Consider the following 12,870-nt stretch of genomic DNA (forward strand, 5'->3'; position numbering starts at 1 on the left):
TGGCTCTGTACTAGTGCTATATGTATATAATAGCACAATTAATCCTAAAAATTTACCCCCATGAGGTGGGTTCTACTGACATCCTCATTCTGCAGAAGACAGGCTAAAGAGATTAAGTGACTTGCCCAGTGTCACCAGCTGGTAGGCAACAGAGATGAGACCCTTATCCATGCCATCTGGCTTCACTCGTTATTCATAACCTCACATTTTACTGCCTCTTTAAAGGGGGACACAAACCAGATATTTCTCAGTGGTCAGATAATGGGCAATTATTTTTCTTCTTTAAATTTGCTAGGATTTTACAAATGATCTGCCTGCTTTGTTTATCCATTTGATAAAACTTTTTTGTTGTTCTTATTTAGTTTCTCAACAGCAGAATTTCTTAAAACACAGAGTGGCTGATTATTAAATTTCATGAGGCACCAAATTCTTGAATAAGAACATATTTTGAAAATCTAATAATAAAATCTTGAAATAATTATGTTCTTACCTGGGCCATTCCAGCAGTGAAGGCAAAAGGGCTAAGAAGACTTAATACCCATCCCAAAGATAAAGGAAGTTGTCTATATAACACAGTGAATCCCAGACATCCCCAAAATACAGTGAAGAGAAATCCAGCCAAACCAGCGAGCATAGGTTTCCTTATTAAAACACTCATGAGGAAAGCCAATGCTATCTGAAGGAAGAAAGAGGTCTGATTGGTATATTTTTCCTTGAAGATTCATAAATAGCAATATTCATCGATTTCTCACATTGTCAAAAATTTTCTCAAAACATATAGAAAATAGGATAGAAAATATAGTGATTACACTAATATCCCAAAGAAACATTATTTGCTCATGTATCTGTAATCTGAAACAGGTTAAGAGGTAATATGCTTTTACCAACTCACCAAAGAAAGGCCATATAAGCTATAGAGTGTGAATATCACCATGAAGCCAGTATGAAATACAATTGGGATTGATGTTATGACCAGAGCCATAAAAATGGACATAATGAAGATGAAGCAAATGTATGTCAATCCCCAGGAGAGCCTATAGTAGAAACAAGGTGTTAGTTCAACTGTCACAAACATAAATGTTTGGAGAGGTAATGTGCGAAATGGTTAAGAGTAAAAGCTCTGAAATCAGGACTAAATTTATTCTAAATGGGTGGCCATACACATTTTGTGACTATTAGCAAGTTATTTATCTTCTCTCACTCTCATCTGTAAAATGGAGTTTTTCATGGTAGCTATTCATATGGTTGTTCTGAGAAATAAATGAGATAATGCTTTTGAAGATGTTAGTTTAGCATGTGGCACAGAAAGTAGCCATTACTATAATTACCTCTATAGCTGTAGAACAAATTTTATATTTAATATAATTAAATATACTTTTATTCTTTCAGTTAAATGACTATATAAAATGTCAGTGGAAAAACAACGACAATCTCCCCTTTAAACTTCCTTATACTAAAGCTTTCTAAGGTATACCATTCTTCTGAATGTTTAACAGAAATCTTTCCAATTTAAGTAAAGCTCATTTCATTTTTTATCCTTGTATGGCTATGGACATTAGACAATGTATTATTTTTAAGAATCAGAATACCATAGTGCTATTAAGAAATGTGAAACTAAAATAAAAGGAAAGGTATTATGATGCCAGGCACGGTGGCTCACGCCTGTAATCCCAGCACTTTGGGAGGTTGAGGCAGGTGGATTGCCTGAGTCAGGAGTTCGAGAACAGCCTGGCCAACATAGTAAAACCCCATCTCTACTAAAAATACAAAAAATTAGCTGGGTGAGGTGGCGGGCACCTGTAATCCCAACTACTAGGGAGGCTGAGGCAGGAGAATCACTTGAACCCCAGAAGTGGAGGTTGCAGTGAGACAAGATCGTGCCATTGCACTCCAGCCTGGGCAACAAGAGCGAAACTCCATCTCAAAAAAAGAAAAAAAAAAAAGGTATCATGATGATTATAGTTGTATAACTGTGATTGAATGTCGGAGTAGCCAAAACATTGTTGCTTTTGAAAATCTCTGGAAGTAGATGGAAAGGTATGTTTTAAACAACCACCACATGATCCAGCAAATATACCACTGAGCATTTTTCCCAGAAAAATTAAAACTTATGCTCACACAAAAACCTGTATATGAATGTTAATCACAGCTTTATTCATAAATGCCAAAAACTAGAAACAACCCATATCTCCTCCAAAGGCTGAAGAATTAAACAAACAGAAATACATCCATGCCATGGAATAGTACTCAACAATAAGAAAAAACAAGCTATTGATAAATGAGAATTTGGCATACTTGAGCCTTATTTGGGCAAAGCAGTACAATCTACTGAGTTAAGTAGTAAATTTGTGCCTGATCAGATAGAAAGTAGAAGGGATAATATACAAGAAGTGTGAGGGCTTTACAAGAAATATAGCAGTTTTACCTTAATACTTGGGATACTTGCATTTGGCAATGGGTTCTTATAAAAATTTAAAGACCAAAATTCACAAAGCTATATATTTTTAAGAAAATTATATCATTTTATTATTTAAAAATCTATTTTCCTTGTCTTTGAAAAGAGGAGAAAGAGCTTGTCTAAGACACCCTCCCCAATAACAGATGCAACATATCAATTAATAAAAAAATTATATCCAACACAAAATCTGCTATCTTGTACCCTTGTATGGTTTTATATCAGGGAAGAATCATTCAGAAATTTAGATTAAATGTTTGAGGTAATGGATATTCCAATTGTTCTGATTTGATCATTACACACTGTATACATGTATCAAGATACCACATGTACCCCACAGTATATACAACTATGATGCATCAGTTAAAAATAGCAAAAAAAGGAAAAACAAACCTGAATCCAAACTTAGTATTTACCTACCGTAAAGCTAATAATATGGTATGCATTTCTGTAGGCCAGTTTCACAAAAGGCTTTTTCTATCTCCTTTTCCCCCTTGTCATTAAATTTATTTTATTAATATTTTTGAGTTTTGTAGCACAGTCTCTAAAAGAGTGCTGTTTTCTTAGGTTTGATTTCTGGCTTTATTGTTTATAAGTTATAGGTTTTAGGGAAAAATCTTAACTTTTCTCTGCTTTATTTTTCTTACCTGTAAAATGTGGATAATAGTTCTGTCATCCCTAGAACACGGTAAAGTACTTAAACAATGTTCATTATTATTTCTATAATTATTAGACTATAATACCTCATTATTATTAAATATTTATTACTATAATTGTATACTATCTCAAAGTCTAGGGGAAAAGGGACAATACTTAAAGGAATGGATGAATGCATAGATATATATATAAATGCATAGACTATATAGATGGAGAGCATAGATATATATATAAATGCATAGACTATATAGATGGAGAGAGATGTCTTTTACCATGCACTAACAAACACCGAACACTGTTTGTGCTGTGTGATTTAAACATATTGCCTCATTTAATCCTGATACCGTTTGATGAATTCCAACCAAATAACATTTTTACAGACTATGTGACCGGGCCTCAGTGACACTGTGGTAAATTCCTTTATTGCCCAAAATTATTTGAACTTTTTTCTGCTCCTCACTGTTATGAAAAGCAGCATAATTTCCCATGTCACTAAATGTGAGGTTGTCACTTTGACTAGCTTTGACCTCATGGTGGGCAGAACACACTTCTTCCCCTCTTGACTTTAGTTCTGTCCATGTGACTTACTTTAATGAGATTTTATTATATATGATGTGAGCAGGAGCTTGAAATGTGCTTGTGCAGAGAGACTTGCCCCCTTGTGTTTCTGTGATTGAATGAGAAGACCATGGCCAGCTAGCCTACTGGCCCAAGAAGGAAGTGAGTCACAGGAAGAACACCTGGATCTAACCTGTACCTTGAATCCAAGCCTGGCCAAGCCCAGACTAGATCTGCCAAAGTCCACCCATACTGCAGACAAATGAGAAAGAATAAATAATTGCTGCTTGAGGTCGTGGGGTTTGGGGTGGTTTTTATGCGGCATTTTTCGGGCAATATGTAATGATCACATATTTTTCTTCAACTCAGGGAAACATAAGCACAATCCTTACTTACTTTCTACTGCAAGCATCTTAAACTCTAATGCAAGTAAGGTGATTAAATTGAATACGTGCAAGAAAACTTGTGAGTGCGTCCAATTTTTTAAGAACCTAGTTAGTTTCTCTAATAATTAATGTATGATATACAGTAAAGTAGCAACTTAACTTACCAGAATGCTGACTCTCGGAGACCCATCACTGTCATCAGTTTCTTAAATTTTCCTCTTTCCCTTGCAACATTTAATGATGCAAAGTATATAAAAGAAGAGAAAGAAACTAAGCAAGTAAAATGAAACCATTCATTCATAATTTCTCCCTTAGAAATGAAAGGTGGTATCTTCATATTTATTCCAATAACTGATGTCAACTCCTCCATTACAGAATGATTTGTTGTGACCTAAATTGGGACATTAGCAAATTTATTATGTGAACTATAGACAAAATATATTAGAAAACTATACACTTTTTATTTTCGATTTCAATATTTACATATTCTCATCATTTTAAAGTATGAACTATTAATATCAGAACAATCTTAATAACTTTTGATACCAATTGACATTAATTATAAGAGTCATTTGAGAAATTACTGAAGGTCTGTCATGCATAATATACTGTGCTACGTAATGGGGAAACAGCAGCAATTCAAACAGAAACACTCTTCATTCTCATAGAGATTTACATTTTGTAGCGCAGCAGAAGAAAGGAGAGATATTAAATAAATCATTGCATAATAAATTGTTTAGTTACAATTGAGCAACTATGTTCAAAGAAAAGTGTAGGAAAATCAAGAAAGGCTTCCCTAAAGAAGTGACATTTTTACTGAGTGTTGAAGGCTGTGATCTTTCCTAAACAAAGATTGGGGGAGGGGGGGTGGTTGAGGATGGAGAAGAAAACTGTGAGCAGAGTAAACAGTATATGAAAAGGAAAGAAGGTGTATAGTGCGTTGGAGCACAGAAAAGAGGTTCCTGCCACAAAAACAAATAAATAGACTGTAGATAAGGCTGAAGAAATAAACCACTCCCATAGTTTAGGCAAGATATGATAAAGATGTGCCCTTGTGCAGGTGGCAGAACTGAAGTACATAGATTTGAGCTTAGAAATAAGAGGCCAGGTAAAAGATTGGATGTGATGAGTGAGACAGAGAAAATTTTCTCTGATAATCCCCAGTTCCTTTTACTCAGCTAGGTGGTTTTAGCATTCACTGAGATAGGGAAAATTTTATAAGACTCAGTCACATTTACAGAAAAACATCCATGTTCATTTTTGCGCATACTAAGTTTGAATTGCTTGAGACATCAAAGTAGAGGTATCCAGCACACAGTCAGATACATGGAGCTAGAGCAGACGTCTAGCTCTTTTAGTCCCTAGCTCCTTTAGAGGTCAGCAAACTTTAGTTCCCAGACCAAATCTGACCCACCACCTGTTTTTGTATATAACATTTTATTGAACACAGGCACACTCATTTGTTTGTGTTATCTACAGCGGCTTTCATACTACAACAGCAGAGGTGAACAGTTACAACACATTTGGCCCCCAGAGCCTAAAATATTTACTGTGTGGTCCTTTACAGAAAAATGTTGCTAGTCTACAAGTTAGAGTTCTTGGAGTCATCAGCATATAAATTATAATGAGAAGTACGGGAATAAATGAGACCATCTAGAGAAAACATATGGGATAGAAAGAGATGCCTGAGATAGAACTTTGTGGAACTACAGATAGAAAGATGTAGGAGTGTAAGGGGAGATAAGTTGGCAAGAAGACTGAGAGGGAAAGGCTAGAAATGGAGAAGGGAAATCAGGTGAATCTATGTTATTTAGTTGAAATATCAAGTAAGGTGAGGAATAAAGAAGCTGTTAATTGACATGGAAGTTGTTATTTACCTTAGAAAAAGCCCTTTTGATGGTGTGGTAGGGATAGATAATATTGAGTTGAGTTGAGTCAAAGGAGGACAACCCTTTCAAGAAACTTAGCCATTAATAGAAGGAAGTTAGGGTAGTTGTGTGAAGAGGAAAGTGGATAAAGGAAGGTCTTGACCATAAGTGAAGAAATTAATTTTAAATCCTGAAGAGAAGAATCTAGCAGAAAGGCAGAGATTGAAAAGAGGAGACAAAAACAAAAGTCCATAGTTGAACTTTGCTGATGAAGTTGGGAGGGATGGGATCCAGACCATGAACTGAGGAAAGACATTAGGGATGAAGAAAGAGAATGTGTGTAGGGGGTCATAGGTCTGTAGTTTTACAGGGTTTATGTTAGAAGTTGGGAGATATTCCCATGTGACAGCTTTTGTTTTCTCTGAGGATGACAGGCAAAGTATCACCTCCTAAGAGTGTAAGAGTAAGGTAGGGGATGAGGCAGATATTTAAAAAGAGGGAAGAATACAGATTTAAAATATAGCTTTGAAGTTAGGCACTTACTTCTATAATTGCAGCATTAATTGCAGCTTGAAAAGCTACAAACCCTTTTAGCCAGTACTTTGCCAAGTAACAAAAAATTTCACCATGCATGGCCCAACAGTGTTCTTTAAGGAAGAAGAAAAACATGTCCATAGTTATATAATGGAGTCAACTCCTGGAATTAAAACTTTAACTTTGGCTCAAAAATCAAAATATCTAAATGTTAGCTCAAAGCCTATGATTATATGATATAGAGGATTTTTAAAGTACTCTACAGAATTGGAGAAAAAAAGAACATATGATGGCAGGGGCAGTGGCTCATGCCTGTAATCCCACCACTTTGGGAGGCCGAGGCGGGTGGATCATTTGAGGTCAGGAGTTCGAGACCAGCCTGACCAACATGGTGAAACCCCATCTCTACTAAAAATACAAAAAAATTAGCCTGTAGTCCCAGCTACTTTGGAGGCTTAGGCAGGAGAATCACTGGATCTCGGGAGGCAGCGGTTCCAGTGAGCCAAGATCGCGCCACTGCACTCCAGCCAGGGTGACAGAGGGAGACTCCATCTCAAAAAAAAAAAAAAGGACATATGAGTAGTTGCCAAAATAATGAGACTCATCCTAAGTTAAAGACTGATGATTAAGTTCAGAGGGAAATGTATATTAATTCTTTACTTGGTTGTATTAATATTCCTATCAGTCATTCCAAACAGGGGATTCCATGAAGTATCAAAAAAAAATTATAATCAGTTTTTTTATAGTTACCTGTGTATTCAGAGTGCTCCTTTATAACTGGGATTCTATATCCCCAATTAAACTTCAGGCGATATGAGAAAGTATCACTAAATATAACTCCCACCATTTCATGGTATTTTTTTGGAAGTTCTATATCCATGGTCTCTTCATCTGGTGTCCCAATGACTGTTCTTCCTACCATGTATGAAAAACATAAATAAATAATCATGTAAACTTATTACTAGAGGACACAAAAACAAAATACAGTTGCTTGTTTTATATAAAATTAGTGGTATTATATATTATTTCTGGATAGCTGCCTCTTAGTAAAAGGCTGAGTGAAACTATTGTTTTAAGTTCAATGCAAATACATGAAAAGACACAAAGGACACATTGTCTTTTAAAAATCTGCAGCATATTGCTTTTAGTGTGATCTCATTTTGGTAAAGAAAACTGAATTTATGTGCCTATGTAAGCATAGAAACATACTCTATATATGACCATGTGCATATTTGCCTTGAAGGATATACACAATTTGAATGAGGGGTAGGGGAGGAGAGGGGGTAGGGGAGGAGAGGAAGTAGTGGTGAAGATGAAAGGAAAAGCTCTCATATTTTTGCTTCATACAAGTTTGTACTATTCAACTTTTTTTAAAGTAGATATTACTTTAGTGACTAAAATAATTTAAGAATTAAAAGGAAAAATATTTAAAGTAAGCAATACAAATACTCAGAATTTGGTGTTTTCTCTTTTTCTGCCAAGATTATAAACTGATATCACATGAAAATAGTACACTAGAGGTAAATTGTATACAAAAAATCAGAGTACAAAAATAAAAAATATAGTCTACCTACAGATTCTCTGAGGTCAAGAACACTCTCTAAGAATTAAGTGTATAGTAATCAGTGCATAAATGAATGAGTTTACAATCTGCAGGAGTAATCCACCCACTAAGTGTTTAATAGATCTATTACTAACAGAAGCTTTGAAAATCACTGGTCCAATTAGTGCCTCCTTTTTCACGTTTATGTATTATGTTCTAAAAATTTTATTAACTTTGTATCTCACTCAGGGTGAAATCTACATTAAGATGAAAAAGCTGTTTATTTTATGCTGTAGCCATACCTTTCAAAACTCCTCATCCTTCCCAATATAGAGTCAGGCGGTGAAACTTTTATGAGGACAGTGCTAACATCACTGATTTTCTCTAGGGGTATAAAAAATACTGTCAAGGCCAAACCATGAATATTTATGCTAAAAAGCAAGAGTTAGATAAATGTAGAATAAGACAGTGAGAGAGGAGCTGTGGTTGGAACAGGCGAGCATGGTAGCTGGAATGAGATATTTTATATAAGAAAGAGACAGAGTCCAGTGGTCCGTGAGACTAAGACAGAAAGTGGCTATTAGCTTACACTGTGCATACAGGAAGAATAGTCCCTGAGGCTTCAGTAAATGCTTCATGAGTTCAGAAAAAATGAGGTAAATGACTACACAAAGGAAGTGAATAGAGACAGATCAGGGCAGAATCAACACTGTGGTCAGGCAGAACATGTAAACAATGCAAGTAAGGGAGGCCCACCAAAGTCAAAGCTCCAGAAACTGCAATGAAGAATTACAAAACAGGGTAAAGCAGCCAGGGATAACAATACCCATTCGAAAGCTTGGATAGGTTAGGCACAGAATATTAGCAACTCACATAAAATAATTAAAATTCAGAGTTTGGAGGTGTCCCTTGGCATGGCAATCCAGACACCAAAAAACTAAATAAAAGTTTCAGAAAGACAAGAAAAAGCAGTGATTAGAGCTGAGACGTTAACAGATTGGATAAAATGTACAAAAGGATGAAATGGCCAATGTTCAGAACCCTGGCAGAATGAGGGCTAACAACAAGAGAAATTTGATAGTAGGCTAAGATTGCTGAAGAAAAGAACATTTTATCCTGATACTTTCCCTATGCAGGAGCAAAGGCCTCTATGGAGAGTCCAGAGACCACAGCTGACCACCAATAGTTACTCCTAATGGCAGTAGAGATATAAAGGATGGTAGGCAAAGGTCTCACATAGTAAGTAGGACTCTCAGGTGTTCTTATTTCTTTATGAGATGCATACATCAAATTAATGCAGCATCCTACATAACATAGAGACATCTATTTTCTGAGTCCAGATATGCAGAAAAAGTCTTATGGGAAAAAAAAAAAAAAAGCCTCACTACTCTAAGATCAAGGGCTGTGAATTTGTTGACTTTCAGTAGCCAATACCTGATTTGATTTTAAATAATTTTAAATGCCCTGAGCTGTACATTTTAACTATTTTTATACACCAAACAGTAATGCTTTTTCAACACCATTGCTAAGCTTGAGTTTGAATTTCAAACACCTTTGATTTATAATTCCTATATACTGGGAACTATATTTATTTCAATCTCAATTGAAAATAATTAAATCCTTAAAATTTTTTGAAACTCTTTAAATTATAGAATACCAACCCAAATATAAAGTTTTTTAAGTTAAGTTTTGGAAAAGTGAAATTTGTATCATCTAAAATGGGTCCAATCTTTTTTTCCTACTGCAACAATATGTTCTAGTATAAAGGGCAAACGGTATGCATATCATTAAAAACAAACAAACAAACAAAAGTAAATCATTTCATCTGTTGCCCACCTACCCTTAGCTTCACACCAACCCCTGTACTGCATATATAATGAGAATCTTTGCCTCAGTTGAGAATCACTGACACACAGGCTAGGTAAGTAAATTCAACCTGCAAAAAGAACTTGAAAATTAAGTCACATAATACTGAAACATTGGTTATTGGACAACACACCTTTCATAAAGGAAGCCAAGGCCATCTTATTCATTATCCTTTGTGTTATGTTACTGACTGGTGTATATGCCACTACCAGGCCAGAGTCATTAAACTGATCCACGCTTCCCAGGACTTTAGGAGGTTGTTCAGGAAAACGGGTAGCTCTGAAGTGTTCCGAAAAGATGCACAAATATAGCCCTAGAAACAATGTTATTGTCCATTCCTCCAGCACACAAAAGAGAAATGAGCCATGTTATAACGTGGTCCAGACCAGTGAGAAACATCCAAACACATTTTTAAGGCAGAATGTATTGCCATTGAGCATGACTTCATTTCAGTCTGTAATTTTTTTCTGCCCAAATTAATATCTACCTTTTAAAGAAAAAAACACCCTTTCAAAAATACACAACTTTTGAGATAATATCAACAATTGCAATCAATCTTAACCCAGTGATTTAGCACCCCTATTAGTGGGACTGCCATTGATTTTATGCCCTCATATTTGAAGCAACGTAAGTATATGGCATCACACAGAAGATACTCTTGCCAAAAATATTTAACCAGAATTGGATCCTGCTTTTAGATCCAGCTCACTGCTTACAAAAAATATAGATGATAAAGGGATGACTTAAATGACAGCATGGAGAGGCAATCAGATAAAAAGAGAACATGGAATATTCAACAGGATAACTAGTTTTGTCTCATTGGTTCCTGAACAAATCAACCTTAAAAGACATTTTGGGGGAAATTTGGAAAATTGAATTTGGCCATGGAACTAGATGATATGGAATTATTTTTAATTTTGTGTAGTGGGATAGTGGTAATGTAGGGAACCAAGTTCTTAATTTTTTGAGATACTAAAATATTTAGCCATTACATATATTTTAGGGAAGAAGAGGAGACAGAGAGATGAAGCAAAGATGGCAAGATGTTAACAGCTGTCAAATCTGGATGGTGGATGTATAGGTGTTCATTGTACCAATATTTTCACATTTCTGGATTGACATACTTTTTTTAAATTCTAGTGAGTAATAAATATAGATGTATCCTTCTTCAATATACGAAGCAAAATATTTGATCGAACTGCTTCGGAAGCTATTGCAGAAATTTAAAAGGATGATATAAATCCTGTTAGCTCCCACTGAAATGGTACTGACTATTTCTGAACAGACTGCAATCTCTACATGGTCAAGGCAGATCCAGTTATATCTCATAGTAACACAAAGCAATGTCTTAATATTCATGTCAGCATACAAGAAACTCAACAGAATGCAAAGGTATTGACAATCTGTGATCTTATTCCATGAAACCATTCTATGTTTACAAAAAGCACGGCTTTGAAGAGATTCCAAAAAAGTTTGCAGATTTTTACTCATAGATATTTTCCCAGCCTTACCAAATAACATGACATTAATCGAAATGTCCCCAAATAGTATCAGGGTTTGCCCACGTAAAAATCTATTTTATTTTGCCTAGCTTATCTTTCCCCTGGCTGTCCCTGCCCCCAACACAGAAGTTAGCTAAGAGTAAATCAGAATGACTCTGAGATTTGAATGCATTAATTATGTGGAAAATGGCTGGTTCTATTCTGCAAAAGATTATTTTTCAGGAGCTGTCAGATGAGCTTTTTAGTTAATTTCACATTTGACACAAATATTATCCTATTTTGCAAAATATATATCGTTTTGCAGTATTTAGAATCTCAAATCAACTAGCCAGTATGATAATTAAAAATCAGAATTTATAAACAAGAAAAGTAATAAAAATGGCATAATACTATATGGTGGATTTTCATTTATTAATTATGGATATATATATATATATATAGTGAATCATACCAATAAACTCTCTTTTTATTCTCCATTTTTTAAGAAAATTCTTGTACAGAAGAGCCTGAATTTGTTGACGCACGCTTATCTCTTTTTTAACCATTTTGTCCTGTTCATTAACAGGGTAAAGTAAATATTGCAGAGCAATAGCTAGGGGAAAAAAGAAAAAAAAAAAGTTCAGTTACAGAAAGCCTTTGAACATTTTGAAAGCATAATTTTCAGATGTGCCAACTAAATGCCTTATATGACACTGTAGCAACATATTCAATCAGGATTTTAAAAAAGAATATAAAGTATTAGTAATTATAAAATGTCTTCTCAGTTGTTATTTCTCTCCAGGCTTTTATGGCTATGAGGGAGATAAAGGAGATAGTATATAAGACCTTTCTCCTTTTGTCTCAGAAGTCACTTTTTTTCCATGAAATCTTAACATTACATCCACCTAAAGTAAATCCCTCAATAAGATCTTAGTAATTTTTAGAATCCAAAAAACACTTTCTCTTTACTTGTTAAGAAAAAGAAGTTTAACAGGAAGAAACCACTTTGCAGTTCCTTGTCAGTCAGCAATTTGACCACAAGCTGTCTTATTTTGAATTGCACATCTGGGCACATGTATTTGATATCTTGTTAACCACTGGGCAAAGCAAAGTCGAAAACATTACGGCCATTCTTAGAATCCCAAAAAGCTAATTCCTCTTTTTTAAATCTCCATTTATGAAGTAAATATGTAAGATACATACAGATTAAAACCAAAAATATTGGCTAATATGACTAGAGTAATTGATTTGTAATAATGATCCTTATTCTTTGTTTTCAATTTGAAAATCCAGAGCTGATCATTTGGTGTCACAACTATGACTACTGAAGTCCATTTGAATAAATGTTGATATTATATACAAATTACAATGTTCAGAGAGAACTTGCTATATTTCCCCTTTTTCATAAAATAAAAGGCAAAGCCAGCAAAACCCAATATAATCTCTAAATTCTAACTTAAGAAAGTAGAAACATTAAAACACCAATCTTCACTTTATGGATACAGAGGTCTACTTAAACAGC

The 12,870-nt window shown here is 34.8% G+C and overlaps 1 protein-coding gene across 2 annotated transcripts in view; it reads right to left on the minus strand.

The window, feature by feature from the left end:
• Positions 1 to 12,870, minus strand: part of ABCA10 (ATP binding cassette subfamily A member 10) — a 96,842-nt gene that overhangs the window by 67,318 nt on the left and 16,654 nt on the right. For both annotated transcript variants that reach the window (NM_080282.4, NM_001377321.1), the window contains 7 exons: positions 11,821 to 11,961; positions 10,001 to 10,205; positions 7,209 to 7,373; positions 6,468 to 6,571; positions 4,221 to 4,447; positions 893 to 1,034; positions 491 to 676 (listed from right to left, as the gene is read on the minus strand). In NM_080282.4, the coding sequence (NP_525021.3) occupies positions 491 to 676; positions 893 to 1,034; positions 4,221 to 4,447; positions 6,468 to 6,571; positions 7,209 to 7,373; positions 10,001 to 10,034 (858 nt within the window). In that variant the 5' untranslated portion in view covers positions 10,035 to 10,205; positions 11,821 to 11,961. The remainder of the gene's footprint in view (positions 1 to 490; positions 677 to 892; positions 1,035 to 4,220; positions 4,448 to 6,467; positions 6,572 to 7,208; positions 7,374 to 10,000; positions 10,206 to 11,820; positions 11,962 to 12,870) is intronic.

This window comes from Homo sapiens, chromosome 17, assembly GCF_000001405.40.
Source record: "Homo sapiens chromosome 17, GRCh38.p14 Primary Assembly".
NCBI classification, from domain to species: Eukaryota; Metazoa; Chordata; class Mammalia; order Primates; family Hominidae; genus Homo; species Homo sapiens.